The sequence below is a fragment of the Homo sapiens genome, chromosome 8, assembly GCF_000001405.40.
Source record: "Homo sapiens chromosome 8, GRCh38.p14 Primary Assembly".
In the NCBI taxonomy this organism is placed as follows: Eukaryota; Metazoa; Chordata; class Mammalia; order Primates; family Hominidae; genus Homo; species Homo sapiens.
Genome location: NC_000008.11, coordinates 28,094,650 through 28,121,622, shown reverse-complemented (window position 1 = coordinate 28,121,622; position 26,973 = coordinate 28,094,650). Strand labels below are relative to the sequence as shown.

Sequence of the window (26,973 nt, the reverse complement as noted above, 5' to 3'; positions counted from 1 at the left end):
TATGGCCGGGCGTGGTGGCTCACACCTGTAATCCCAGCACTTTGGGAGGCCGAAGTGGGCGGATCACCTGAGGCCGGGAGTTTGAGACCAGCCTGGCCAACATGGTGAAACCCCATCTCTACTAAAAATACAAAAATTAGCCAGGCATGGTGGTGGATGCCTGTAATCCCAGCTACTCGGGAGGCTGAGGCAGGAGAATGTCTTGAGCCCAGAAGGTACAGGTTGCAGTGAGCTGAGATCACGTCACTGCATTCCAGCCTGGGCGACAGAGCAAGACTCCGATTCAAAAAAAAAAAAATAATAATAATAATAATAAAATTTAAAAATGAAATTTACATTTCATTTACTGTAGCACCAAAACACATACAAATATTTTGAAAGAATTTGTTTACAAAAGGCTTATACAATCTCAACAATGAAGATTGCTAAGAGAATTTAAAAACCTAAGTATACAAGGAGATAGACTATGTTCATGAATTGCAAGAAGCAATAAATTGTCAATTCTTTCCATTTGTTCTATAGTTTTAACACAATTCTAAATCCATTATACTTTTTAATAGAGCATTGGCCAGCTGATTCTAAATTTTACATAGAAATGCAAAGGACCTAGAATTTCTAAAGCAATTTTGAAAAACAATTACAAAGTTAGAAGACTCATATTACTTGACTTCAAGATACACTAAAAAGCCACAGTAATCAAAACAGTGTAGCACTGGCATAAGGATTGAAAAACAGATCGATGAAACAGAAAAGAGCCCAGCCCACATTTACTGAGTCCTTCGATTTTTAACAAAGGTGTGATATAATCCGAATAGGGAAGGAAAATCTTTAAAGAAGTGATGTTAAAGCAACTAGCTGTCTATATGGGGAAAAAGGAACCTTGATCCCCACCTCATATTACACATAAGAATTAATTCAAGATGGAACATAAACCTGTAAGTGAAAGCTCAAACCTGTAATTAGAAGAAAACACAGGAGAATATCTTTGTGCCTTGGGAACGTGCAATGGTTTATTAGAGACAATACAGAAAAGCAATAACCATGAAAGAAAACAACTGCTAAATTCTACTTTATCAAAATTAAAAACTTTGGCTAAACGATATCATTAACATAACAAACAGCCAAACTACAGACTGGGTTTTCATGTTTGCAAAATATAGAGCTGACAAAGGACTGGCAGCTAGGATATACAACCACCTAATCAAAAATGGGCAAAAGATTTTAATAGATACTTCACAAAGGAAATATACTCAAATAGCATAAGCACATACTAAAAAAGTGTTCAACATCATTAGTCATCAGGCAAAAGCAAACTAAAACCACGAGATACCATTATACGCCCACTAGAATGGCTAAAATTAAAAAGAGTGACTACACCATATGTTGGTGAAGATGTGGTACAACCAAATGTTCATACATTATTGGTGGGAGTACAAATAGTAGAGCCATTTTGGGAAAATGACTGGCGGTTTCTTGTAAAACTAAACTTACATAGCAATTCTATGTCTATTTATTCCCCCAAGAGAAATAAATACATATAGCCACAAAAAGACTTACACAAGAACGTACGCTGAAGTTTTATTCATAATGGCCACAAACAAAACAGCTCAGGCGTCTATCAATAGAAGGATGGTAAACAAACTGTGATCTCTGCATACAATGGAATACTACTCAGCACTAAATAGGTAACAACTAATGAATCACCCAACACATGGATAAATCTCAAAATACTATGCTCAGTGAGAGAGGCCTACAAGTGTATGCTATATGGTTCCATTTATATGAAGTTCTAGAAGAGACAAAACTAATTTGTGATGGGGAAAAAAATCAGAAGAACGGCTGCCTCTGGGAGGCGCAGGGGAGGATTTACTGGCAAGTGGGATGTGGGAACTTTCTGGGATGACGGTGACATTCTGTATCTTAATAGGACTTTGTAGCACAGGTATATGCATTTGTCAAAAATAATCAAATGGTATACTTAATATATGTGTTCATATATATATATATATATATATATATATATATATATATATATATATATATATATATAAAACGCCACAAGTTGTTTTGTACTGTATGTAAATTTACTTCAAAAGAAAAACACTGCAGACAGTGAACACTAGTCAGTGATATGCATGATGAAGTATCCCGGGAGAAGTGTACTGAAGCATACAACTTACTATGAAATTCATCAAAAAAGACAGCGCAAGCACACGCGAGAGACACTGATGAATGGATAGTGGAACTGACAGATATGTGATAAAGCAAGTATCGTAGAATCTAGGTGATGGGTATGTGGATGCTCACTAAAAACTGTTTAATTTTTGTTTCAAATAAAATGCTGAAAGAAAAACCATATCAACTCTCTTAAAGTGACTAAGATTGTATCCTATGTTCTCTGGCCAATGTTAAGGATCCTGGTCACCATGTATGGAAATCTGGGTGACCAAAAGAGAAAGTAAAATGGTCAATAGAAAAAGTGAGAGATAAGCAGTGTCAGCGTCAAAGCCCAGAAATGCAGAAGGTCCTGAGGCCTGCCAGAAATGACGCCCAGGGCAGCAGGGCCACAGTCACTCACTCTCAGGTCTCTGTAGGTTCCTTTTGCTTCCGTTGCAGCTGTGCAAGTCTACGAAATTGTCTTCTGGGCCTGGTACCTAGCATTACCTAGCACTTCAGCTTTTCTCAGACAGGTAAGAACATAGTTGGAGGATCTAAAGTCATTAATGGGGCGTGGGGGGCGGGGCGGGGGAAGAGGAAGGAACGGGAAATGAATTTAAAATTCCACAGGGAGAAAGTATGACTCACTCACTTTTTAATGGGTAACTACCCTTTAAATTGCATCTTGTGAAAACAGCCAAGGAGCATTAAAGATTGAATGTAAAACTGCTTCTGGGCAAAGCTGATTAAAAAGGAATAAAACTATTTTAAAAGGTTGTTGGAGTTATTTGGCAACATTTGCATTCTAGTGAATGGGTGACTCAGATCCCACTACCGGTCTTTTTCATCTCCAGAGCCTGATTGTTACACGATGACAGTCACCAGTAATTGTTGCTCTCTGGAGACTACTGAAGAATCTCAGTCCAGCTGATAGTACTGAGTGATTAGCACTTTGCTTGATTTAATGAGCCTTCACAAAAGCCATACCTGTTTTGTCCTTGAACTCTCTGTTCACTCAACTTTCCAATTTATCCATCCACGAGAATATATATAACACACTGCTTGCTACTAGCTTGCCATAAATAATAACCAGGCTCTGCTTGCTGGGGCTTTTCTTTACCTTAACTCCTATTCTTTTAAGAAGCAAAACTTTAATCAGGTTCAACATATGAAAACATAGCAGGGACACCTGAGCCAACACAGCAGTAAAACTTGACCCTAACGTGAACAGACTATTAACCTTAAATGCTGCTTGCTGACTCATAGGTCACAATACATCATTTTTAACCTAATTTAAAATTAATCTTTAAAAAACCCTGCTAAGCTAATGAAAGTCAGTTTACATCTATGTAGTCAGCAAGCAAAAACAAAAGTAAAATAAACATGAAGTTCATCACCTTACATCTAAGAGCAGTGGGCTACGCTGTGCAAACCAACCAGTTTTCACTCATAGACTCTGGGCAGGATGAGAGAGAAGGGCAAGGTCAAATCCAAACATTTCCGAGGGCCACATTATGTCAAAACCACAACTTCTCTGGGCTGCTTTTTATTTCACAATTATGCCAACACTTGAAAATACTTTCTGTCTCTAGTTCTATAGCACAAACTAGACTATTATTTCCTCAAATACAAAGTTTCCCTCAAAACAAATACAAACTCTATTATGAGGGGTTTGTAGTAAAACTTTACCTTAACAAAGCAACAACACGCCACAAATCAGGTCTTTTTTTTTTCCAGATGATCTCATAAAAATATAGAGACTGAGAGAAAAGAGCAAAACATTTAAAGTGTGTGTTGGCAGAATTCAGTGTAATTTATGGATGGTTTTATGGCTCCCAGATTGTACTTTCATTACTTCTCAAGAGGCATTCATGAGATGTGTTGCAATGAAGACCCAAATCATATATAAATTTTTATCTGAAAATAAAGTGTTCGTTGCCCTCTTGAGGTAAATTCAAGAACAGAAACAAAACAACACTGGCACTGCCTAGAATATTACTGAAAGAGGATTTCTCTTCCACAGGGCTTTTTCTACAAACACATCATGATCTGCACTGAGCTCGCTGGACTAGACAACCCTATTTTCAACCCAATGATGGAAAACTTACATTCAAGCACCATTAGCACTAGAACATTTCTGCAAAAATAAAATGTTACACCAAGAATAAAACAAAATTTTTACTTTCAATTGATGAAAATGTCAAACTAGATACATACTAAAAGTTCACTATGCAGATCTTAGTTGGCCTGCTTCATATACCTCAGGGGACCCAAACTGTAGGAGATGAAAAGCTTAGTGGCAAATTTTTATGGGGGAGAGAGGCAAGTCTAAGATATTTACAGCTCAATTCCACTTAATATGTAAGGTCTTCAAGATAAGAAGACCTTACATATTAAGGTCCAAGAAATGAGTACAGAAGTATATAAGCTTGCAGAGAAAAACTTATCTTCATAGATGTCCCTGCCAGGGAATTTTCAGAGCTGAATGAACTGTGGTCAGCAACCCTCTGAGAGAACCTTCTGCTGCCATCCCCGTCGCCTGGCTTTGAACTAATAAAGGTTGTTTTTCCTCAATCACATTTTATCTAAGGTATAGTTTGATTTTTCAGTATTATTAAGAGTAATTAGCTGGATGATATCATTACTCCTCTAAAGTTTGAAGACTTCAGCATTTACTAAGTATGACTCATATTAATGATCAGTTTTTTTTGTTGTTGTTTGTTTTTTGAGACACAGTCTCACTCTGTCGCCCAGGCTGGAGTGCAGTAGTGCAATCTTGGCTCACTGCAACCTCTGCCTCCTGGGTTCAAGTGTTTCTGTGCCTCGGCCTCCCAAGTAGCTGGGACTAGAGGCACCAGCCTCCATGCCCAGCTAATTTTTACATTTTTAGTAGAGAAGAAGTTTCACCATGTTGGTCAGGCTGGTCTCAAACTCCTGGCCTCAAGCTATCTGCCCGCCTTGGCCTCCCAAAGGGCTGGGATTACAGGCGTGAGCCACTACGCCCGGCCTCTTGATCAGTTTTGAACGAGCAGTAACAATGCAGTCGCCATCTCCTCTATTACTAAAGCCCCTGTAAGACGAAGAAATCACAATGCTACAGGTCCAGATTCACGGACACAGAATTCACCTGTTGCATTCCCTAGAGTCAATCAAACAGAAGTGGGCTGCTGTCCACACAAACTCTCCCAGCTGCCAAACCTTTCAGATGGGCTCTTTGAGCTACCCTTGGTATTAAATTTTATGAAAAAGCTCCTCTCTTCTTTTCACTTTTACAAACCCAAGGAGAACAAAGGAAGTTAAGGGGGTAGGGGGAGTAGCGAGGGCACAAAAAGATGTGGCTGCCCCCAATTCCAAGAGGCAACCCTACCCAGGTCATTAGCTAACTGTTCATTCAAAATTCATTCACGCATTTACTTGTGCTTACTATGTGCCAAGAACTGCTTTACTTACAGGGTAATAAAAACCACTCTTAGGTCTATCCAAAATTTTGTCCTACACAAAAAATCTTAAGAGGTGGCACTATTTGAACAACCTTATAATTAGCTATATGAAACCCTCACCCCATATAAAAGAGAAGCCAGAGAAAAGCCTGAGGGTGGTAGGGAAGGAGGGCAAGGAAAAACAGGCCATATTCCTTCCAAGATCTTCAAGCTCTGATGATGTGCACACACATGTGCACATACATACAGACACACTCACATTCTGACACCTAGCACAGCTTGCAAAGTTAGGCTCTGAAAGCAAAGCTACCTGGGATTTATATCCCATTCTACCACCAACCACCTCTGCAACTTTGGGCAAATTGCTTATCTCTCTGTGCCTCAGCTTCCTCACCCATAAAACAGAGATAATCTGAACACTTAACTCAAAGGCTAACTATGAGTACTAAATAAGTGAATATTAAACACCCATGACAACACCTGGCCCACTGTATACAGAGCAAATGTAAATATCCTCCTTTGCTGCCATTTCCCATGTCCTTTCCTCCTCAGCTCTAAGGTCTATGATGACCATTATTCTGCCACCTTTTCTATGCATTTATATACAGATATGTGTGTGTGTATGTGCATGAACACACAAATAATGGGATCGTACTATAAGAATTGCTCTAAAAATTGCTTTTCACTTAGTATACCTTGGAGATCCACAACTCTCCCATGAGGTGGTCTCCTCCACTTACATGGTTGTCAATGTTACCTATGAGCTGATAATCCCCAGTTTCGTACCGTCAGCTCAGACTTCTCTTGCATTCAGAGCCCACCGACATCTCCACTTGAATGTATCACAGGCTCTTCAGACTTCACACATCCAAAACAGAACTCTTGATTTTCTCCCTCTGAGATTTTCTCTGCTCTTCCCGCTATCTTTCCCACCTCAGTATACAGCCCTACCCTACCTTCCTACCATTTCTGACAGCCAAAACCTTAGTGTCAGGCTTGATCCCTTCTTTTCTCTTACCCCCATCTCAATCTCCTCTCCATCACCACTGCTGCCGCCCCCATCTGAGCAGGGATGGATGTAATCAGATGGCCTCCTATCTGGTTTCCCACTTTCACCCTGGTACTCCTCTAATCCATTAGCCAGACAGTAGCCGGAATGACCCTACCTGTTAACCAGAACTTGCCACTTCCCCTTCATCTGCTCCCTACTGCATTTCAAATAAAATTTCAACTCCTTAAAAGCATGTATCTTGGCCCTTACCTAACACTTCAACCCCGTCTCATGACGTTCTTTCTCTTGTTCACTGGGATCTGACATGGTTTGGGTGTTTGTCCCCTCCACATCTTATGTTGAAATGTGATCCCCAATATTGGAGGTGTGGCCTGGTGGGAGGTGTTTGGGTCCTGGGGCTGGATTCCTCATAAATAAATGGCTTACCACCATCTCCTTGGTGATAAGTGAGTTCTCGCTCAGTTGTTTCACGTGAGATTTGTTGTTTAAAAGAGTGTGGCACCTCCCTGCACCCGTCATGTGATGTACTGGCTCCCCTTCACCTTCCACCATGATTGGAAGCTTCCTGAGGCCTCACCAGAAGCAAATGCCAGCACTATGCTTCATGTGAAGCCTGTAGAACTGGAACCAATTAAACCTCTTTTCTTTATAACTTACCTAGTCTTAGGTGTTCCTTTATAGGGACACAAATGGATTAACACAGGATCTAACCATGCTGGCTTCCTCTCTGTCCCTAGAACACCCCAGGCTGCTTCCCATTTCAGAGCCTTTATTTTATCTTTCTTGCTGTTGGCCTAACTCCTCCTTGTACTTCCGGTCTCAGCCTAAATATCACCACTTTCCAGTATCTAAAACAGCACATAGTATCTAGTGGGCCCTCAAGAAGGATTTGTTAAATAAGGAAAATAGTAACTATCCAGGTGTTCCTGCAACTCCTGAGAACAAAAACTATTTTAAGACTTTCACTTCTTAAATCACTGAACTACATACTAACCTGTAGTATTCTTCTTGCTAAAAACAAGGTGTCAAAATGATGCATAATTTTGTCAACTAGAATTCAAAATGACTAAATTAACTTGTGGTTTGAATAACACATGATTTGACAGACATGAGTTTGTCCCCTCTAAAACTCATGTTGAAATTGTCATTGTAACAGTATTAACAGGTGGGACCTCTGAGAGGCGATCTGACCTTGTGGGTAAGATTAATGCCATTATAAAAGGGTGAATTGGTCCGCTTTTTGTTTCTCTTGTCTTTTGCCGTGTGATGACGTAGTAAGAAGGCTCTTGCCAGATGCCAGCACCTTGACATTGGACTTCCCAACCTCCAAAGCTGTGAGCCAATACATTTCTGTGCATTATAAATTACCTAGTCTCAGATATTTTGTTACAGCAGCACAACACAGACTAAGATCCCAATCATAAACAGTTACTATTTAATAATTATGAAATATTTACTATAAATTAGGTTTTTAAATAACAGTACCTTGTTTTGCTGATTTTACAGCAGCTAAAATACTCCCAGCCCCCTTCTTGGGTGGGCTGAAAAGACATTCATGGACCATATTTGGCGAATCTCTCTATTTGAGAATACTACTATGTCAACAAACTGTATTCATTTTTTCTTTAAAAGGATTATTTCAGTGAAAGGATTATTTTCACTGGAAAAGATTATTTCAGCGAAAGCATTATTTTCACTGAAATAATCCTTTCCCATGAAACAAGAAAGATTATGAGAAGTAAGAATGTGGATGCAGGGCAGAAGGCATTCTCGTAGACTACTGCTAGGAGCATAAACTGACAACCACTCTGGAGACTATGATAAAATAAGAATTTCTTACTTGACTGCCTCGTAAATATTGTTGGAAGTATGTCCTGATAAGGCATCATGTAAATTTCGAATAAAATAATCTCTGTATTCTTCTGGAAGGGCCATAAACGTTCCACCCATCACAATAAACTCCACTTTATCCACACTATGACCAAGTTGTTTTAACTGAAAGACAAATTCATCAGCATTAGAATGATATAAGCATAAGGAACTACTCTAAGAAGGCATTGCAAATCTCTTATTTTGCAGTGTTTTCATCAGTACAGTTTAAAAATCAGAAGTAATGAAACACACTTAGCTAATTCTGTGGATAAAAAATAGGCCCAAGTCTGAAAGAAAAAAGTGAGTACAACTCAAATAAGGAGGGAGAATGAGAATATAAAATAACAAATAAGAGGCTTGACTTGAATACCTACAAAGCGGAAATTTAAAAACACGAAGAATATAAACTAGAAAGCAGTAAAGACAAATATAATACAATTTGCAAAACAGTAAGTATTTATTGATCATGTATTTTATGTCAGACTTGGTGGTAAGCCTAGAGGACAAAAAGGTGGCATTTATGGTCAACAATGATACATGAATGATTATGTAACATAATAAGGATTTGATGTAATGGAAGAAAAAAAGAATAGATTGGAAAGAAAAATCAAGACAGCAGTCTAAAATTGATGGATGATTCCAGGCACAGGAGGCACTTCAAGTCTGCTTTCTAAAAAAAAGTGAAAGTCTGATTAAAAATGAAATATTCAGGCCAGGTGCGGTGGCTGATGCCTGTAATCCCAGCACTTAGGAGGACCAGGCTGGCAGATCACCTGAGGTCAGGAGTTCGAGACCAGCCTGGCCAACATGGTGAAACCCCGTCTCTACTAAAAATATAAAAATTAGCCAGACATGCCGTAATCCCAGCTACTCTGGAGGCTGAGGCAAGAGAATCGCTTGAACCAGGAGGCGGAGGTTGCAGTGACCCAAGATTGTGCCACTGCACTCCAGCCTGGGCAACAAGAGTGACACTCTGTTTAAAAAAAAAAAAATAATAATAATAAAATTAGGTCTCCTCTACTAGTGGAGAGAATGATACAAATCTTTCATTTTGTTGACTACAATAAGCCAAGATTCTAATTTTTAAAAATAGGTATTGAAATTAACACTAATTTCTGAAAATGGCAAAAAACGTATACAGAAAAACTATATATATGCATGTGTGTACATATATATCAACACTAAAAGAATACTCTATTTCTGTATCTATGGTTCTTTACAAGAGATACTCATCAAAATTACCCTGGTAGTTTTTAAAAATATCTTGCTAGGACCTTAAAGCAGACTTAATCAGAACCTCCCGAGGTGAAGATGTGACACGTTTTGGAGAAGTTACTCAGGTAATTCTAGTGCATTTAAGAAAAGAATCACTGCTCTATGTTCATTTCTAAATCTTGTAAACTATGCTCCTTTTTTTGGTAAACATAAGCATTTCATGCTCAATAGTTTTACATTTTAAATAAATTAACTATCATAGCCCAAAAAGAAATTGAAGCAAAGGTCAGTTTAGAACCCACTGTTTGGAAAAATGTGGGCTCCCCCAGATGGAGTCCTCTCCTGTCACCGACAATCCTGTTCCTCATACGCTTGGGTGACAGCAAAGTGGATATTAAAACTGAACAGTATTCACCAATAAGCCAATAAACAAACCCAGAGACAACTTATCCACTATGGTTATGTACCATTATCTACTTTAGACTTGGATGTGCCTACTATACATTACTATTACAACTATGGACAGTGCTTTACATTTTTTAAATTGGACAAGTTTAAAATAAACTTGTAAATAAAGGAAATCTGTATTAATGTTCAGATTTCTTGAACACTGCAAGGTCATGTACATAGTACTTGTTTTTAGTCAACCATACTGAGGTATAATTTAAATACGATAAAATCCACTAACTTTAAGTGTACAATGGATGAGAGCTGATAGATATTTAGAGTTATGTAACCACCACCATGACCATGATAGAGAACAATGCCATACCCCGACTAGTTCTTTGTACTCCTTTGTAGGAAATTTCCTATTTCCACCCAACAAATCTGTCACAATACTTCTTTTTGAGACAGGTTCTTGCTGTGTCACCCAGGCTGAAGTGCAGTGGTATGATCACAGCTCACTGCAGCCTTGACCTTCCAGGCTCAAGGGATCCTTCCACCTCAGCCTTCCAAGTAGCTAAGACTTCAGGTGCACACCACAATGCCATGCTAATTTTTGTATTTTTTGTAGATGGGGTTTTGCTATGTTGCCCAGGCTGGTCTCGAACTCTTAGGCTCAAGTGACCTGCTGTCACAGCCTTCCAAAGGGTTGGGATTACAGGCATGAGCCATTGCGCATGGCCAGTCAAAATACTTCTTAATCTGACTTTTGGAAATTAAAAGTCAACACACCCACCCATTGTCTAAGAACTTTCATACATCTTTATTCCACAAATTTCATACTACAAATGACTTTCTACAAATTCAAAAAAACTTAGAGAATATAAAACCCTTAAACAATAAATACAGTCTTTAAAGAAAGTAGTGTTTTTGACCTTGCTAGGCATGGCAAATTCTCCCTCCCTCAAATGGATATTGAAAACTTACAAAGAGGAAAAACACCTTTTTCATTCTTATTTCAGGTTCAATTTGAATCAAGCAACAATGGCTTCTTACTAAGTATAAACACCTAATTTTTAAGAAACATGTTTTTTAAAAATGTACCTGTTCTATTCGGTGTCTTGTCTGTAGGAAAGGGTCATATCTGGCACGGATAGCTCTCATGGAGGTTGGCTAGAAGAGAAAAATATTGTTATGCCCACATTGAATTAAAACTAAAAAGTAGTTTCAAAAGGACTGTATTTTAAAAAAAACTCTCCATGGTTCCGAACACTGAAAACGTGGCTTGTACCCGCATTAATTTTTCTCAGTCTTGTCAGGGTTCAAAATAATGTCCTGAATCGCATCTGGCAGGTGTCCACTCACGCTGTCATAAACACCTCAACAGCAGGGTGTCTCCTTGGATCACATCTGTCTTTTGTATAAACACTTCTGGAATCCCAGGGTCACCAAAGTGTTCTGCTCACAGACATAGATGTGCATACATATACCAGAATCATATAATAAAGTAACTTTTAAGTAAGCTTCTAAAATACCACACAGTTTGTAATGGCTACCACCATACAGTGGAATACTCTACAGCCACGAAACAATGTACTGACATAAAATGTTCACTAAGATATTGTAAAATAAAAGGCAAAGTGAAAGAGGACTCTGATATGCTACCTTATATGGAATCAGTCAAATAAAGAATACGTCCAGGTTGAGCATCCCTAATCCAAAAATCAAAAATGCTCCAAACCTCATAATTTTTTGAGTGCCAACATGATGCCATAACTGGAAAATTCCACACATAGTACTTAACACAAACTTTGTTTCACGCACAAAATTATTAAAAATATTGTATAAAATTAATTCAGCCTAGGTGTATCAGGTGTACATAAACCCAAAATGAATCTCATGTTCAGATTCGGGTTCCACTCTCAAGATTTCTCACTATGTATATGCAAATATTCCAAAATCCAGAAAAATCCAAAATCCGAAACACTTCTGGTCCCAGGCATTTCACATAAGGGATAGGCAACCTGTGTATGCTGTGTTCCCTAAAATATCCCTGAAGGATGGGGAGGAAATAACAAACAACACTAACTGGTAGGGGGAAGAGTGAAAAAGAGTGGCTAGGGGATAGGAATGAGAGGAAGCCTTTTCACGAAATCATTCCTCTTGTATTTTAAAAAATTTGAACCCTAGAAAACAAGAAAAAAAATGAAAACAGATATGAGAAAAAAGTCACAAGCTTTCCTGGCTTCTGAGGTGTTCTGAGGAGGGTGACTCCTTCAAAAGCACCTCACTGGCCTTCTGCCTTCTTTCTGGTCTCCACTCTAACCCTTTCTCTACATGGCCATCAAAATGATCTTTCAAAAAACCTAAATTGGATTGTATCATTCCCCTGCCTTAAATCCTAATAGCTTCTCATGACTCCTACGCTAAAATGGAAACTCCTTACCTTTGCTTACAAACCCCAGCTCATTTGCACTCCCAGCCTCATGCTTCCCTCACCCCCTGCACTGCACAACACCCCCATGTCTTTCCTTCCTTGGGCCTCATTCTAGTGACTTCTCTGCTAGGAATGCCCCTTTCACATATTCTTAGGACTAGGTCCTTCTTGTCATTCAGACTCAACTTCAATCTCACTTCACAGAATCCCTTCCTAACGACCACAGCTAAACCATCTCAGCTGCCATCACCTTACTTGATTTTACATCTCTGCTTAGCATTTTTTGAGTGCCTGATACTTTTTCTTGTTTCTTTACTGTCTACCTTCCATTATTAAAATATAAATTCCAGGCTGGGTACAGTGGCTAACGCCTGTAATCCCAACATTTTGGGAAGCCAAGGCAGGCGGATCACTTAAGGTCAGCAGTTCGAGACCAGGCTGGCCAACATGATGAAACCTTGTCTCTACTAAAAATACAAAAATTAGCTGGGCGTGGTGGTGCTTGCCTGTAGTCCCAGCTACTCGGGAGGCTGAGGCAGGAGAATCACTTGAACCCAGGAGGTGGAGGTTGCAGTGAAGGAGATCGTGCCACTGCACTCTAGCCTGGGTAACAGAGTGAGACTCCATCTCAAAAAAAAAAAAAAAAAAGAAAAAAAAATGTAAATTCCAGAAGACAATGGGACCCTGTCCATTTTCCACTGCTAAAGTGACAGTACAATGTAGTGGTAAGCAGCACAGACTTCGAAACCTGGTTGTCACTTACTAATAGTGTGTCTTTGGGCCAGCTGTTTAAGCCTGCTATGCCCTAGTTTCCTGATTGGCAAACTGGGATCATGATAGTGTCTATCTTCAAAACACTGCAATAAGGTTTACAGTTGTAAAGCACTTAGAACAGCATTTGGGATAAGAAGTAAGTATTATTTATGCTTATGTAAGTATTTCTCTAGTGGCTAGAATAATATAGGGCACTAGTAGACACTGGCAAATATTTGGTGAATGAACAGCTTTTAAAATCAGAAAAAAACAAAAACAAAAACAAAAAATTGTCAGAAAGCCAGTACTGGTAAAACCATACTACAGGTAAAGCATGATGCAACATTTCATCAGGACAGCCTCAAAGTTACTGTACCTCATAGCCAGTGTAAGACTGGGTGGAATACTCAAAATCAGAATCAGGTCCACCAGGGCAGTATCTGCCAGTACAACAAAAGAACAAGAATGTCAGATGCAAAACTGAGTTCAATCAGCTAGTTCCAAGCATCTACCATCTCCAAAGAATCCTGATAACAAATGAGCTTCCTTTTCAAATCCTAACAGAAGAATCTACCTTTGCAGTATCTGTAAATAATGTATTTTCTACCAAGAAGTAAATAAGATAAATATGTAAAGGGACATTATTACACCCATTTTCAAAATAACTGCAGTTGTGTTTATTTCAGAGGTTTAAGCTTTTAGGGGCAAATAACAGAAATGAAGTTTTCCTAAGTTTGAATCAATACTCAGTGTTCTCTTGGGAACCACACTCAAGAAAATCTTTCCCCCCTTTTATCTTCCTACCCAGAATCATGCAAACTCTTCCGCTAATTCTTTCAAATAGGTGAGTTTGAGAAATCTAAAGGTTACGTATAAGGATAATTTTTTATTTTGATATGTTTCTGATCCAAATTCATTTTAAATTTCTGACGTGGAATTTAGGCAGCTCATATTCCCATGTTTCATTTATGAGTTTAACAGAATGTGCTGTTTTGAGTTGCATATCCCAATGTCTACTGTTGTGAGTTCCATAACCTACATTTTTAGAATTGTATATTGCAATAAATTAAAATATTCATATGTTCTAATTTTATTTATTTATTTTGATATGGAGTCTCACTCTGTTGCCCAGGCTGGAGTGCAGTGGCGTGATCTCGGCTCACTGCAACCTCCACCTCCCAGGTTTAAACGATTCTCCTGCCTCAGCCTCCTAAGTAGCTGGGACTAGAAGCGCATGCCACCACGCTCGGCTAATTTTTGTATTTTTAGTAGAGACGGAGTCTCACAGTGCTGGCCAGGCTCGTCTTAACTCCTGACCTCAGGTGATCCACCTGCCTCAGCCTCCCAAAATGCTGGGATTATAGGCGTAAGCCACTTTGCCCGGCCTTATATATTCCAATTTTAAAGCACTAAAATATCTACCAATGGTTGCTTGTTTGAAAGGAGTAATCTATAAATCTATTAAGCTGAAGTTTTAAACATTACCAGGATGTACTGACTAAGGGCTAGAGGGGGCATATTTAGCTTAATTAAAACATACATACAATTTAATAAAATCACCATACTTACACACATATATTTCCTGTAAAACTGATGTGTGGACATCTGTGGGGTTTGCACATCACAGCCACGACAGCAATCTATAAAAGAAAGATGAATAAAAAAGCTATTATAGGATAATTAATATAAAACTCCACAGAGTGCTTATCCCTCGGAAGGAAGGAGAGGAATGCAACCAGAGAGTGGCAAAAAGGGGCTTCAAAGGTATTGACGAGGCTGTATTTCTTTTTTTTTTTTTTTTTTTTTTTTTTTTGAGACGGAGTCTCGCTCTGTCGCCCAGGCTGGAGTGCAGTGGCGGGATCTCGGCTCACTGCAAGCTCCGCCTCCCGGGTTCACGCCATTCTCCTGCCTCAGCCTCCCAGGTAGCTGGGACTACAGGCGCCCGCCACTACGCCCGGCTAATTTTTTGTATTTTTAGTAGAGACGGGGTTTCACCGTTTTAGCCGGGATGGTCTCGATCTCCTGACCTCGTGATCCGCCCGCCTCGGCCTCCCAAAGTGCTGGGATTACAGGCGTGAGCCACCGCGCCCGGCCGAGGCTGTATTTCTTAAGCTGGGCAATGGGTACAAGAGTGATCTCTGTTCAATATTAATCATCTTTAAATTGTCCGTATGTAATATATATGTGAAGTTATATTCCATTTTACAATAAATTAAGTACAAAATAACAAATTAACTGTTAAAGCCAAAGTGATTCTTAGTCTTTCTCTCTCTGATTGTCTTAGTAAACAGCCTGTAAGAAAAAAATTTCTTTAAGCAATTCTATGAAATTATATATAAACCTAACCTTTGTGACTCAAACGCCTCATGAACACACTGGATCTCAATATTTGCAGCAGGTACTATTAAACTAGCAGCTTCATGTTTCAGGGTCTGGGTGTAAATAACCTCAGAGGGGTCTGACAGAGCCTCAGTGAGGTGACGACAGGAGGCAGTGGCAGAGACGCAAGATTGGTTACATCCAGGGCACTTGGTCAAATCTGGCCATTTACAAAAGTGAAAGCAAGCCAGGCTTCTTACTATCAGAGAAGTAGCTATAAACATGGAAAGAGAGAGAAGCAGAATGAACTCTGTGGGCTGGGTGGAATTAAAGGTATTGTGGCCAATCAGAGTGTTCAACATATGGTAGACTGATAAATAAATACAAATGGAAATGTGTTACATGTATGTGTGCATGTTATGTATGCAGCTATACATATATATGTCCTCGCTTGGTCCACTGAGAGAGTCTGGCAGCAGCAACACCCTAACAGCAGTAAGCACACCTAGGACCCAGGTCTTAGTATCTAAATATCCTTCTCCAACTAAAAGAAACCAGGGCTCCTTGGGGAAATGGCTGATTCCAGGGCTGGAGCAAAGAAAGTCTAAGATAAGCCTGGAACATTTTCCTTTTTTTTCCTTTTTGAGACGGAGTCTCACTGTGTTGCCCAGGCTGGAGTGCAATGGCGTGATCTTGGCTCACTGCAACCTCCACCTCCTGGGTTCAAGCAATTCTCCTGCCTCAGCCTCCCAAGTAGCTGGGATTACAGGCATGTGCCACCATGCCTGGCTAATTTTTTGTATTTTTTTTTTTTAGTAGAGACAGGGTTTTGCCATGTTGGCCAGGCTGATCTCAAACTCCTGACCTCAGGTGATCCACCCACCTCGTCCTTCCAAAGTGCTGGGATTACAGGCGTGAGCCACCATGTCTGGCCAAGCCTGGAACATTTTATTGTGCTAGAAAGCTAGAAACTGCTCAAAGAATGATGAGGACATTTTAAAAAGACATAGAAATCAGCTTGAAAAGGCTCCCACTGGTCAAGTCCACAATAATTTGTGCATCAAAATAAATAGTAACAGATGATAACCCACCAAATAGGAAACCATTAATTCCTTCACACAAATAAAGGAGTGAACTGGGTACGTGATGAGAAACAGGATATCCACCTAGTTTCTCAGTATTTCTCCATACAACACTTCTTAATACAAAGTGGAAAAAAATAACTTGACAGAGGGTAAGTCTGGTGGACAGCACCTTGATCAAAATGAGGAACATCAGTGATAGGAAAACCAAACCTGCGCACCACTGGATGGGAGATGACGAGAAGAACGTAGTGCTGCTTCTATGAGGCACGGGCCAAAGACGCGTAACCTGAATCTCATGATGAGAAAACAGCTGATGAACCCACACTGAGGGACGTGCTACAAAATAACTTGCCAGAAATCTTCAAAAGCGTTAAGATAACGGAGTCCAAAAAAGACAAAGGAAATGTCCAGACTAAAGATATATGACAATTAAATGCAACAGGTGATTCTGAACTAGGTTCTGTGGGATGTTATTGAAACGGCTGGTGAAACTTAAGTGAGGTCTGAGGCTTAGATGACAGTAATGTATCCAAGTTAACAACCATGGTGTTTCAAGAACACAAACACGAACTCAAATACAAACTCAGAATGGGTTATGGACCTAATTGTCTATATTTAAAAGTTGTGCTCTGAGAAAGACAATGAAAAGACAAGCCACAGACTAGGAGAAAATATCTGCATAATTGGTACCTGATAAACCACTTCCAGCTAAGATATACAAAGAACTCTTAAAACCTAGTAAGAAAACACCCAATTAAGAACAGGGCAAAAGATGTGACTAGATATCTCAATAAAGAAGATATACAGTGGCAAATAAGTATACGGAAAGATGCTCAACATCATGTCATTAGGGAATTACAAACTAAACAACAAGGAGATACCACTGTTCAACTATGAGAATGGCTAAAATCCAAAACACTGGCTGGGCACCATAGCTCACGCCTATAATCACAGCACTTTGGGAGACCAAGCTGGGAGGATCCCTTGAGCCTAGGAGCTCAAGACCATCCTAGGTAACATGGTGAAACCCTGTCTCTACAAAAAACACAAAAATTAGCTGGTGTGGTGGTGCATGCCTGTTGTCCCAGTTACTTGGGAGGCTGAGGTGGGAGGATAGCTTGAACCTGGGAGGTTGCTGCAGTGAGCTGTGATCATGCCACCACACTCTAGCCTCAGTGACAGGACAAAACCCTGTCTTAAAATAAATAAATTAATTAAATAAAATCCAAAACACCGACATCTCCAAGTGTTAGCAAGGATGTGGAACATCAGAGTGCTCACTCACTGCTGGTGGGAATGCAAAATGGTGCAGCCATGCTGGAAGAGTTTGCAGTTTTTTACAAAGTGAAACATAGTCTTACTATATGATCTACCAGTTGCACTTGTTGACAGTTACTCAAGTAAGCTGAAAATGTAGGTGGACACAATAACCTTCACAGAGCTTTGTTTAAAACTGCCAAAAATTGGAAGCAACCAAGATGTCCTTCAATAGGTGAATGAATAAGCAAATAGTGGTACATCCGTACAATGGATTATCATTCAGTAATTAAAAAAAAAGAATGAGCTACCAAGTCACAAAAAGACATGGCAGACTTCAATGCATATTGCTAAGTGGAAAGGCTGTATGATTCCAATTACTGTACATGACACTCTGGAAAAAGCAAACTTTATTAAAGACAATAAAACAATCAGTGGAAGTCAGGTTACGTCTAGAACATGCAGAGGGAAAGGGACAAATAGGAGCTGTTTTTGTTTGTTTGTTTGTTTGTTTGTTTTTTTGAGACAGAATCTCGCTCTGTCACCCAGGCTGGAGTGCAATGGCATTATCTCGGCTCAACGCAACCTCTGCCTCCTGGGTTCAAACTATTCTCCTGCCTCAGCCTCCCAAGTAGCTGGGATTACAGGCGCCCGCCACCATGCCCGGCTAATTTTTGTATTTTTAGTAGAGACAGGGTTTCACCATGTTGGCCAGGCTGGTCTCAAACTCCTGGCTTCAGCTGATCTGCCTGCCTCAGCCTCCCAAAGTGCTAGGATTACAGGCATAAGCCACTGCGCCCGGCCACAAATAGGAGATTTTAGGGTAGTGAAACTATTTCATATGACACAGTAATAGTGGATACATGACATTATGCATTGGCAAAACCTACAGAATGTAGAACACAGAGTGTATTCTAATGTATGTACAGGCTTTGGTTAATAATAATGCAACAATATTGGTTCATCAATTCTAACAAATGTACCAAACAATGCAAGATATTAATAATAGGGAAACTGGGGTAGGGGTGAAGGTGCTAGAGGAAGTGTATAAATTTTTTTTCTCTATAAACCTAAAACTACTGTATAAAATAAACAAAGCACCATCAGAAAAACAGCAAGAATAAAAGCATGGAGGTGAGAATGGCAGTAGATAGGGAATGGCCACCAGCTGTGTGTTTCTGATACTTTCAATAGATCACTCTTGTGACACTGTTAAAGATGCATTTCATGTAGGTAGGACAAAATAGATGCGTAAGGAAATGACTGAAATAATCTAAACAAGAAATAATAAAGGCCAAAGCATTCTTACCAGTGGCAGTAGGAACGGAAAATGCATTTCACATTTTTTGGAAACTGAGTGCACGGTGGTACCATGAACTAACATGGACAGGAAAGGTGAATAAGCAAGTCTGGTATTAGTTTTGGTTATGCTATACTTCAGGAGGTTCTCAGGCAGTCAAAGGACAGATGCCTAACTGACAATCTGACAGGAGTCTGAAGCTCAGGGAATGGTTCATGCTGGGAGTCAGCATACATCAATACTAAAATCATCAAATGGATGAGGTTACCAAAGAAAGCATGTAAAATACCAAACACAATGAGCCCAGGACAACAGAAAACATCAACTTTTAGAGGTAAGCACAATAAGGTAGCCAAGATAGGACAGAAATGATCAGAGACAGAGGAAGAAACAGAGAGGGTGGTATCACAGAAGCCTCGGTTTGCCAGTCAGGCTGAAAGGTTGCTAAGTTTCTGTCTTCTTTAATGGCAAGCCCACACATAATGCTTAACTCTAAAAAGTCGGCCAGGCACAGTGGCTCACGTCTGTAATCCCAGCACTTTGGGAGGCTGAGGCGGGCAGATCACCTCAGGTCAAGAGTTCGAGACCAGCCTGGCCAACATAGTGAAACCCTGTCTCTACTGAAAATACAAAAATTAGCTGGGCATTGTGGCACATGCCTGTAATCCCAGCTCCTTGGGAGGCTGAGGCACAAGAATCGCTTGAACCTGGGAGGCAGAAGTTGCAGTGAGCCAAGATCGTACCACTGTACTCCTGCCTGGGCAACAGAACAAGACTGTCTCAGGTAAAAAAAAAAAAAAAGAAAGTCAAGACTTATCTATTATGTAAAGAATGTTATTTTATTTATGGATATGGAAGTTAATGCTAAAGAAATTGGCTAAGAGTTAAAAATGGTTGCCCTAGGGTAGAAAAAGGGAGGTGAGGGGCATGGACTATTAGTTTTTCTTAACAAGTTTTTTTGTTTTTTGTTTTGAGATGGAGTCTCGCTTTTTCGCCCAGGCTGGAGTGCAGTGGCATGATCTCAGCTCACTGCAAGCTCCACCTCCCGGGTTCACACCATTCTCCTGCCTCAGCCTCTGGAGTAGCTGGGACTACAGGCCCCCGCCACAACGCCCGGCTAATTTTTTTTTTTTGTATTTTTAGTAGAGATGGGCTTTCGTCGTGTTAGCCAGGATGGTCTTGACCTGACCTTGTGATCGGCCCACCTCGGCCTCCCAAAGTGCTGGGATTACAGGCGTGAGCCACCGTGCCTGGCTAACAAGCTTTTTACACTAGATACAAACAAACAAAACAAAACAAAAACACTTAAGTACAAAGAAGAGGATATGAGGTTTGGTGGTACATTGTATGTAAAAATTTTAGGGTTTAATTAGCCACAAACGTAAGGTGATCCAGGAGATATGGTCACCAAGTCAACACAAGCTGCCTGGAATATAATATCCCAATTCAAATAACAGAATGAACTTGTGGGATCACATTAGGAACAGAATTTGGTGCTGGGGACCATATGGTAGGAGGGTCTTAATTCTATCAATTTCTGTGCATGTATCTCACACTCATCTTTTTTCATCCTAGAGTCTCCATCCTAACTCAAGTCCTTAACACTGCATACTGACATCATACCAAGAGCATCTAAGCTAGTCTTTTTGTCTCCAAACTACCCTGCATGTTGTATCCAAATTAATTTTCTGAAAATCTACTTTGTTCATATTACTACCTTTTTCAAAACTTTTGTTTCCTATTATCTAGCTGCTTTGCCAGACACTTAAGATTTTTACAAGCTGATCCCAAACTACCTGTTCAACGCACAGTCCTACTCTCCTGAACTGTTAACACCCTTCAGTCTGGCGTACTCGCTATTTCCTGCGTGCACCACGCCCTTCCTGTCATTTCTACCTCTGTGCCTTAGCCCCTGTGTCCTTGCTCCCATGACACTTAGAGCCTGCTCTTCTTGGCTTATGGGTCAAGCAAGCTGTGTGCTTTCTACTGGGCCTTCCCCAGCCCCTTTTGCTGCAGGGACATCGCTGTTGTCTGGACTTCCACAGTGCTCATAATCACCATATACAGAACTACTTTGCACCATTAACTACCTTTCAAAAGTACCTTTCATAAGCATCAATTATATTGAAAGCTACCAGCTTAAGATGGCCAACATTTATCCTGTTATGATTGTCACCAAGCCTAAATCTATATTTTTAAAGAGGTCAAAACATCATCTACTCCTTTAATCACAATTATATTTTTTTCTCTCTCTGCTCTCCTTGCATTCAGCACAGGTCTCCACTCCAGCACATATCCTAATACAGGGACTTCATTAGTTCAGAATCCCCAACCTCTACCTCACTACACGGGCGTCACATGGAGCAGGGACTTCTGCCAGAACAGATACCCAGTGTGTCGATACCTCATGAGTCGAATCACTCACCCCACTAGCAGTTCTGATGGGTTTCGCCTTTAACTTGGGCATCAAGACCTTGCGATACTGAGGAGGGACGGCAGCAATGATATCCACCAGGCGGGGCTGGGCAGAAAGGCCATATTTGGCAGCTGTCTTGGTTTTCACCCTGAAAGTAAAGCATCTCACATTATCAAGATTACGGTTATTTAAGGACAAGCTACCAAGAGGATGATCTATAAACAACATCATTAACAACTGTCACTCTCCAATCCCTTCACCACGTGACAAGGATAGTTTTAAGATCTGTGACTATCAGGGAAATAGAAGAATAAAATTCACGAGTGAATGACTACTTCCCACCCTTGAGTACCAGAAAGAAAACCAGAGGACTATGGAGGGAGAAGGGTCCCTGGACGATGACACAATATAGATCTAGTTCAGAATAGTGCTGCAGCTTCAAAGGACTATTCTGACTCCACCTTTCTCAACCTCAGCACTACTGATGTTTGGGACCACACAGTTCTTTGCTGTGGCAGGTGGCCAGCGAATTGAGGGATGTTTAGCAGCATCCTTGGTCTCTATGTACTACCAGCCTTCTTCTTGTCTTCCTGTTGTAACACTCAAAAATGTCCCTAGACATTGCCAAATGTCCTGAGGAGGAAATCACCCCTGGTTGACAACTACTGTCTTAGACAAAACAACAACAACAATTAAAAAAAAAATCAAGGATGGCTATGCAGAACCAAATAGGAAATAAAGTACATATTTTTGAAAGTTTAAAAAAAACTTTTACCAGCTTTTCTTTGTGCCTCCTAGCCAAACTCTTAACAGTCACCCTGTCTTCTAACTTTAATCCATCTAGAAATATCTGTGAAGTGCTCACATATTTGTCAACAAATATTAACTGAGGACCTAACACGTACAAGAGGCTGCCTGAATACCTGCTATGTTCAAATGTGCAAGGCACAGTCCTTTCATGTTCTATGTTTACATGTTTGCAGACAGGCGTACCAAGAAAATTAATGTATAAATGATTAAAACATATGTCATAAAACACACACACATACCAACAATGAATGCTTCCAGAGTTCAGGGAGGAATCTGATGTGTGCTGGGGAGATATTCATGGAAATGAGCACAGAAGAAAGAGTAGGTCTCAGTCACTAAAGACACAAAGATGACATGGAGGGCAGACAGGCTGATTTATGTGCAGATGCAAAAACAGGAATGCATATATTTTAAGAAATACAAGCAGACCAACTTGACAGAAAGCAGAAGATTTTCAATGTAAAGGTACAGAGGTTTAAAAACTTGGAAAAGCAGGTTGAAGCCAGACTGAGAGACCTTCCAGTAATAGGCTGGTGACATCTGAGGAGGGGCGAGTTTTAAGGACGATGGCAGCTTTAGCTTTAGATGTGCTAAATTAAAGAGAACAACAAATATATATAAGATGTAGAAATGTTCACTAGAAATTAAAGATTTGTATAATCAGGGGTATAACCAACAAAAAAAGAAAGAAAAACTTCTAAAGACACGGTAGAAAAATCAGTAAAATACAATAACTTTATAGTCAAAAGAGGATATTTACTTATTCCTGTAGCAAATATTTACTAAGCATGAGGATTCAAGGAAGGGGTAAAATATTGCAGCATCTCAAGTATCAGAGAAGAGAGTCTAAGAAAAGGTCATTCCTGTATGTGATGATTAGACGACCTGGGGTTGGGGAGAGAACCCTTTCATTAGGGAAGATCTACATAGAGTGAATATATATTATAGTTTGAAAAAAAAAATAGATGCAGAGATGAAAGACAACTCTTATTTGAGACTGTAGGAAAGTCCAAGCTGAAAATGATTATGGAGAGGAAGTGGATGAATGTGTCAAAGAGGTTCTACAGCAGGGGAGGGTTGGATTAGATCAGGGGCCCCAAAGGGAGGGTTTTCCTGACAGAAAGCTGCTGCTTCAGCTGAGACAGTAGGGAAGGAAAGTAGGATGTGCAGCGATGCAGCACAGAAGAACATGGGCTCTGGAGACGGCTGACCTAATTCCAAATCCCAGCTCTGCCAATTACTAGTTACTTACCCCTGGACAAATTATTTAACTGCTCTCTGACTCAGATTACCCACCTGTCAAGTGTGGCTGGTATCAGTACCTATCTCACAGAATTTTGAGGGGATTAACTGAGCTAATACATACAATGCATTAGCAACAGTGTCTGGAATACAGTAAGTGCCCAATAAATGTTAGAAGCTATTAGTATTCTTAAGCTGAGACAATTTTGCCATCAAGAAATGAATGACGGCCGGGTGCGGTGACTCACGCCTGTAATCCCAGCACTTTGGGAGGCCGAGGTGGGCAGATCACGAGGTCAGGAGATCGAGACCGTCCTGGCTAACACGGTGAAACCCCGTCTCTACTAAAAATACAAAAAATTAGCCAGGCGTGGTGGCGGGCGCCTGTAGTCCCAGCTACTCAGGAGGCTGAGGCAGGAGAATGGCGTTAACCCCAGAGGCGGAACTTGCAAAAAAAAAAAAAGAAATGAATGACAAGGCAAGGCAGAAAGCTAAAATTCTCAACTAAAATAAAACTTGAGCTGGAAAACAAGTAGTACTAGATAATTTCATAAAAGAGATCTGCTACCTAAGAACAAGCTTGCTCTCTCTTTATATCCACTTACTTATTTAGATCGATGTCTTTCCCCTGCTCGTGGGCTTCAATCAGTTGTTTAATAACATCTCCTATAGTCAGCATCATCAGCTCAGCAGGGCTGAGATCTCCTGGAAAGTTAATATTCAACAATGTCAAAAATCGTATCATTCAATCAAGATTTTAAAATCTGATTTAGTAGCAGTTTTCCATCCGAAACCATACAAATATGCCAAATGAATAGCTCAAGTTCAGAAGATGCTAAATCTCTACTGTTTACAATTTGATCATATCTTTTGTATCTTTAAAACAAACGTGGCTTTACATATATATGGGAAAAGCTCCCTTTAGAAGCACATACTCTATGAGATTATTAAAAATAAATACAGGAAAGGATACAGGAGTAGAAACAATGTGAGGAGAAAGAACTTAATCACACAGGAAAGGACCAAAGTAATTCTCTTCCCTTTATCTCCAGAGGTGTAATTACTAATATGTGCATAATACTTTAGAGTTCATAAAGAACATTTAGATGCATGAATTCAGGTAATTCTCAGAACAGAGGTAGACAGAACAAGAATATGTGCCTGTTACATGAAGATGCTATCAAGGAGTAAAGTTGAAACTCAAACCCAGGTATCTGCCTAAGAATCTTAATGCATTTCTAAAATATTGTCTGTCCACCATCATGAACTTCTGGCAACTGGGGCTCTCGGTCTCATCCAAAGGCAACAGCAGAAGCTGACAGGTTCTTGTATGACGCCATCCACTCAAGCACAGTTCAAGGATTGGTTCAAGGATGGGCATATCTCTAAGCCAGGCCAATCTGAGCTCTTTTCTTCAAGGTAAAAAATGCCAGTCTTTTTCCAGGGACAAAAGCTGTGGGATATCAGCTTGGAAGCTGTCAGCAAGCAAGCTTCTCACCTGTAGAGCAGTGGTTCCCAACCTTTTTGATAAAAGGAACTGGTTTTATGGAAGATGATTTTTCCACAGACCAGGGGAGCAGGGTGGTTTTAGGATGATTCAAGTGCATTACATTTATTGTGCACTTTATTTTTATTACTGCATTGTTATATGTAATGAAATAATTATACAATTCACCATAACGAATTCTGTTCCCATAGAATCAGTGGGAACCCTGAGCTTGTTTTCCTGCAACTAGACACTCCCATCTGGGGGTGATGGGAGACAGTGACAGATCATCAGGCATTAGATTCTCATAAGGAGCACACAACCTAGACCCACCACATGCACGGTTCACAACAGGGTTCAGACTCCTTTGAGAATCTAATGCCACTGCTGATGTGACAGGAGGCAGAGCTTAGGCAGTAACATGAGTGATGGGAAGTGGCTGCAAATACTGATGAAGCTTCACTTGCTCGCCTGCTGCTCACCTTCTTCTGTCTGGCTCAGCTCCTAACAGGCCATGAACCGGTACTGGTCCGTGGCCCAGGGGGCTGAGGACTCACACTGCAGAGAAAGCTAAAACATAATGAAAGCGTGGATGGAAGGCCCTGGCAATTATGGAGCCCACACATTTACTTTATCTCATTTGAACCCTTACAGTAACACGGAGGGTAGGTACTGTTATCCCATTTTATAGATGTGAAAAATGAGGCTAAGGCAAGTTAACAAGCTATCGTAAACAGCAGAGCCAAGACTCAAATCCAGCTCTTTTCACCACAACTTCCATGCTTTTTTCACTGTAACACACTGCATCTAATTTAATGAGGCAAGGCTAACATATACACAACAATTTTTGAGAGAAATAAAGTCCATCTATACTCAAAGGCTAAATGCTTTCCAAACCATGTAACTCAGCACTTCCAGAGTTCTACAAAGGTGCCTCAGGGGCCATGCAACAGAGGTAGGACTGGTGGTGGTCATGGCAGAGGAAGGGAGAAGGGAAGAGGAAAATAAGGCATGGAGGAAAAAAAGGAGGAGGTCTCTTTATTTCCACCACAGCAGCTCTGCTTTCAGCTGTTTATATATTGAGGTTCTGTGTAAGAATTTATTTGGAGGGTAAAAGGGGATCGGCTGATAAGAACAGATAAGATTTGGAAACCACTTGTATAGCTCTTGAGTGTATCAAGAACTGGAAGAGTAAATGAGTAGGAAAAGACTTCATGAAGGAAATGGCACAGGGATCTTTAAAGATAGGGCAAGATTTGGACATGCAAAACAGAAGGCAATCCAGAAGAAATAATGTCAGGCATAGGAATTACCTATCTTTGTGTGAAACAGCACAGCCTAACTAAAATCCAGCTTTCTAACAGGGTGTAATAAAGAACAGATTACAGGGGACCCTGGCCACTAGGCAAAGGCATTGAAATGGAATGCAACAGACAGTGAAGAATTGCATATTCTCAACTTTGGAAATAAAAAGTTGAAAGTAACGTTTAAGGAAGGTAAGAATATTATCGGTACAAAGAATGATTCAGAAAGTGAAAAAGAATACATATAATATGGATACTACTCAAATGGCTCTTGAAAGGCAACATTGTTTTAAAAAACCCACAAAATCTAAGACAGGATCCAGTCCCAATGCCTACTGGCTGTGTGGTAACGGAAAAGATCGACAATTTTTTTTCTTTTTCTTTTTCTTTTTGAGACAGAGTCTTGCTCGGTCACCCAGGCTGGAGTGCAGTGGTGCGATCTCGGCTCACTGCAACCTCCACCTCCCAGGTTCAAGTGATTCTC

General features: G+C 40.2%; 1 protein-coding gene across 7 annotated transcripts in view, besides 1 other annotated feature; it reads right to left on the bottom strand.

Moving 5' to 3' along the window:
* ELP3 (elongator acetyltransferase complex subunit 3) overlaps nucleotides 1-26,973 on the bottom strand; it is a 100,922-nt gene that overhangs the window by 69,531 nt on the left and 4,418 nt on the right. For 3 of the 7 annotated variants that reach the window (XM_024447184.2, NM_001284222.2, NM_018091.6), the window contains exons 2-7: nucleotides 24,305-24,404; nucleotides 21,657-21,795; nucleotides 14,840-14,910; nucleotides 13,647-13,710; nucleotides 11,185-11,253; nucleotides 8,450-8,604 (exon numbers count right to left, since the gene is read on the bottom strand). In XM_024447184.2, the coding sequence (XP_024302952.1) occupies nucleotides 8,450-8,604; nucleotides 11,185-11,253; nucleotides 13,647-13,710; nucleotides 14,840-14,910; nucleotides 21,657-21,795; nucleotides 24,305-24,381 (575 nt within the window). In that variant the 5' untranslated portion in view covers nucleotides 24,382-24,404. The remainder of the gene's footprint in view (nucleotides 1-8,449; nucleotides 8,605-11,184; nucleotides 11,254-13,646; nucleotides 13,711-14,839; nucleotides 14,911-21,656; nucleotides 21,796-24,304; nucleotides 24,405-26,973) is intronic. The other 4 variants (NM_001284226.2, NM_001284220.2, NM_001284224.2 and 1 more) reach the window with 4 other exon arrangements.
* Nucleotides 1,245-1,445: a silencer, noted in NCBI's record as "peak6972 fragment used in MPRA reporter construct". NCBI's record gives its function as "represses an SCP1 promoter by STARR-seq MPRAs in K562 erythroleukemia cells {active_cell/tissue: K562}" and the evidence as "EXISTENCE:reporter gene assay evidence [ECO:0000049][PMID:32103011]".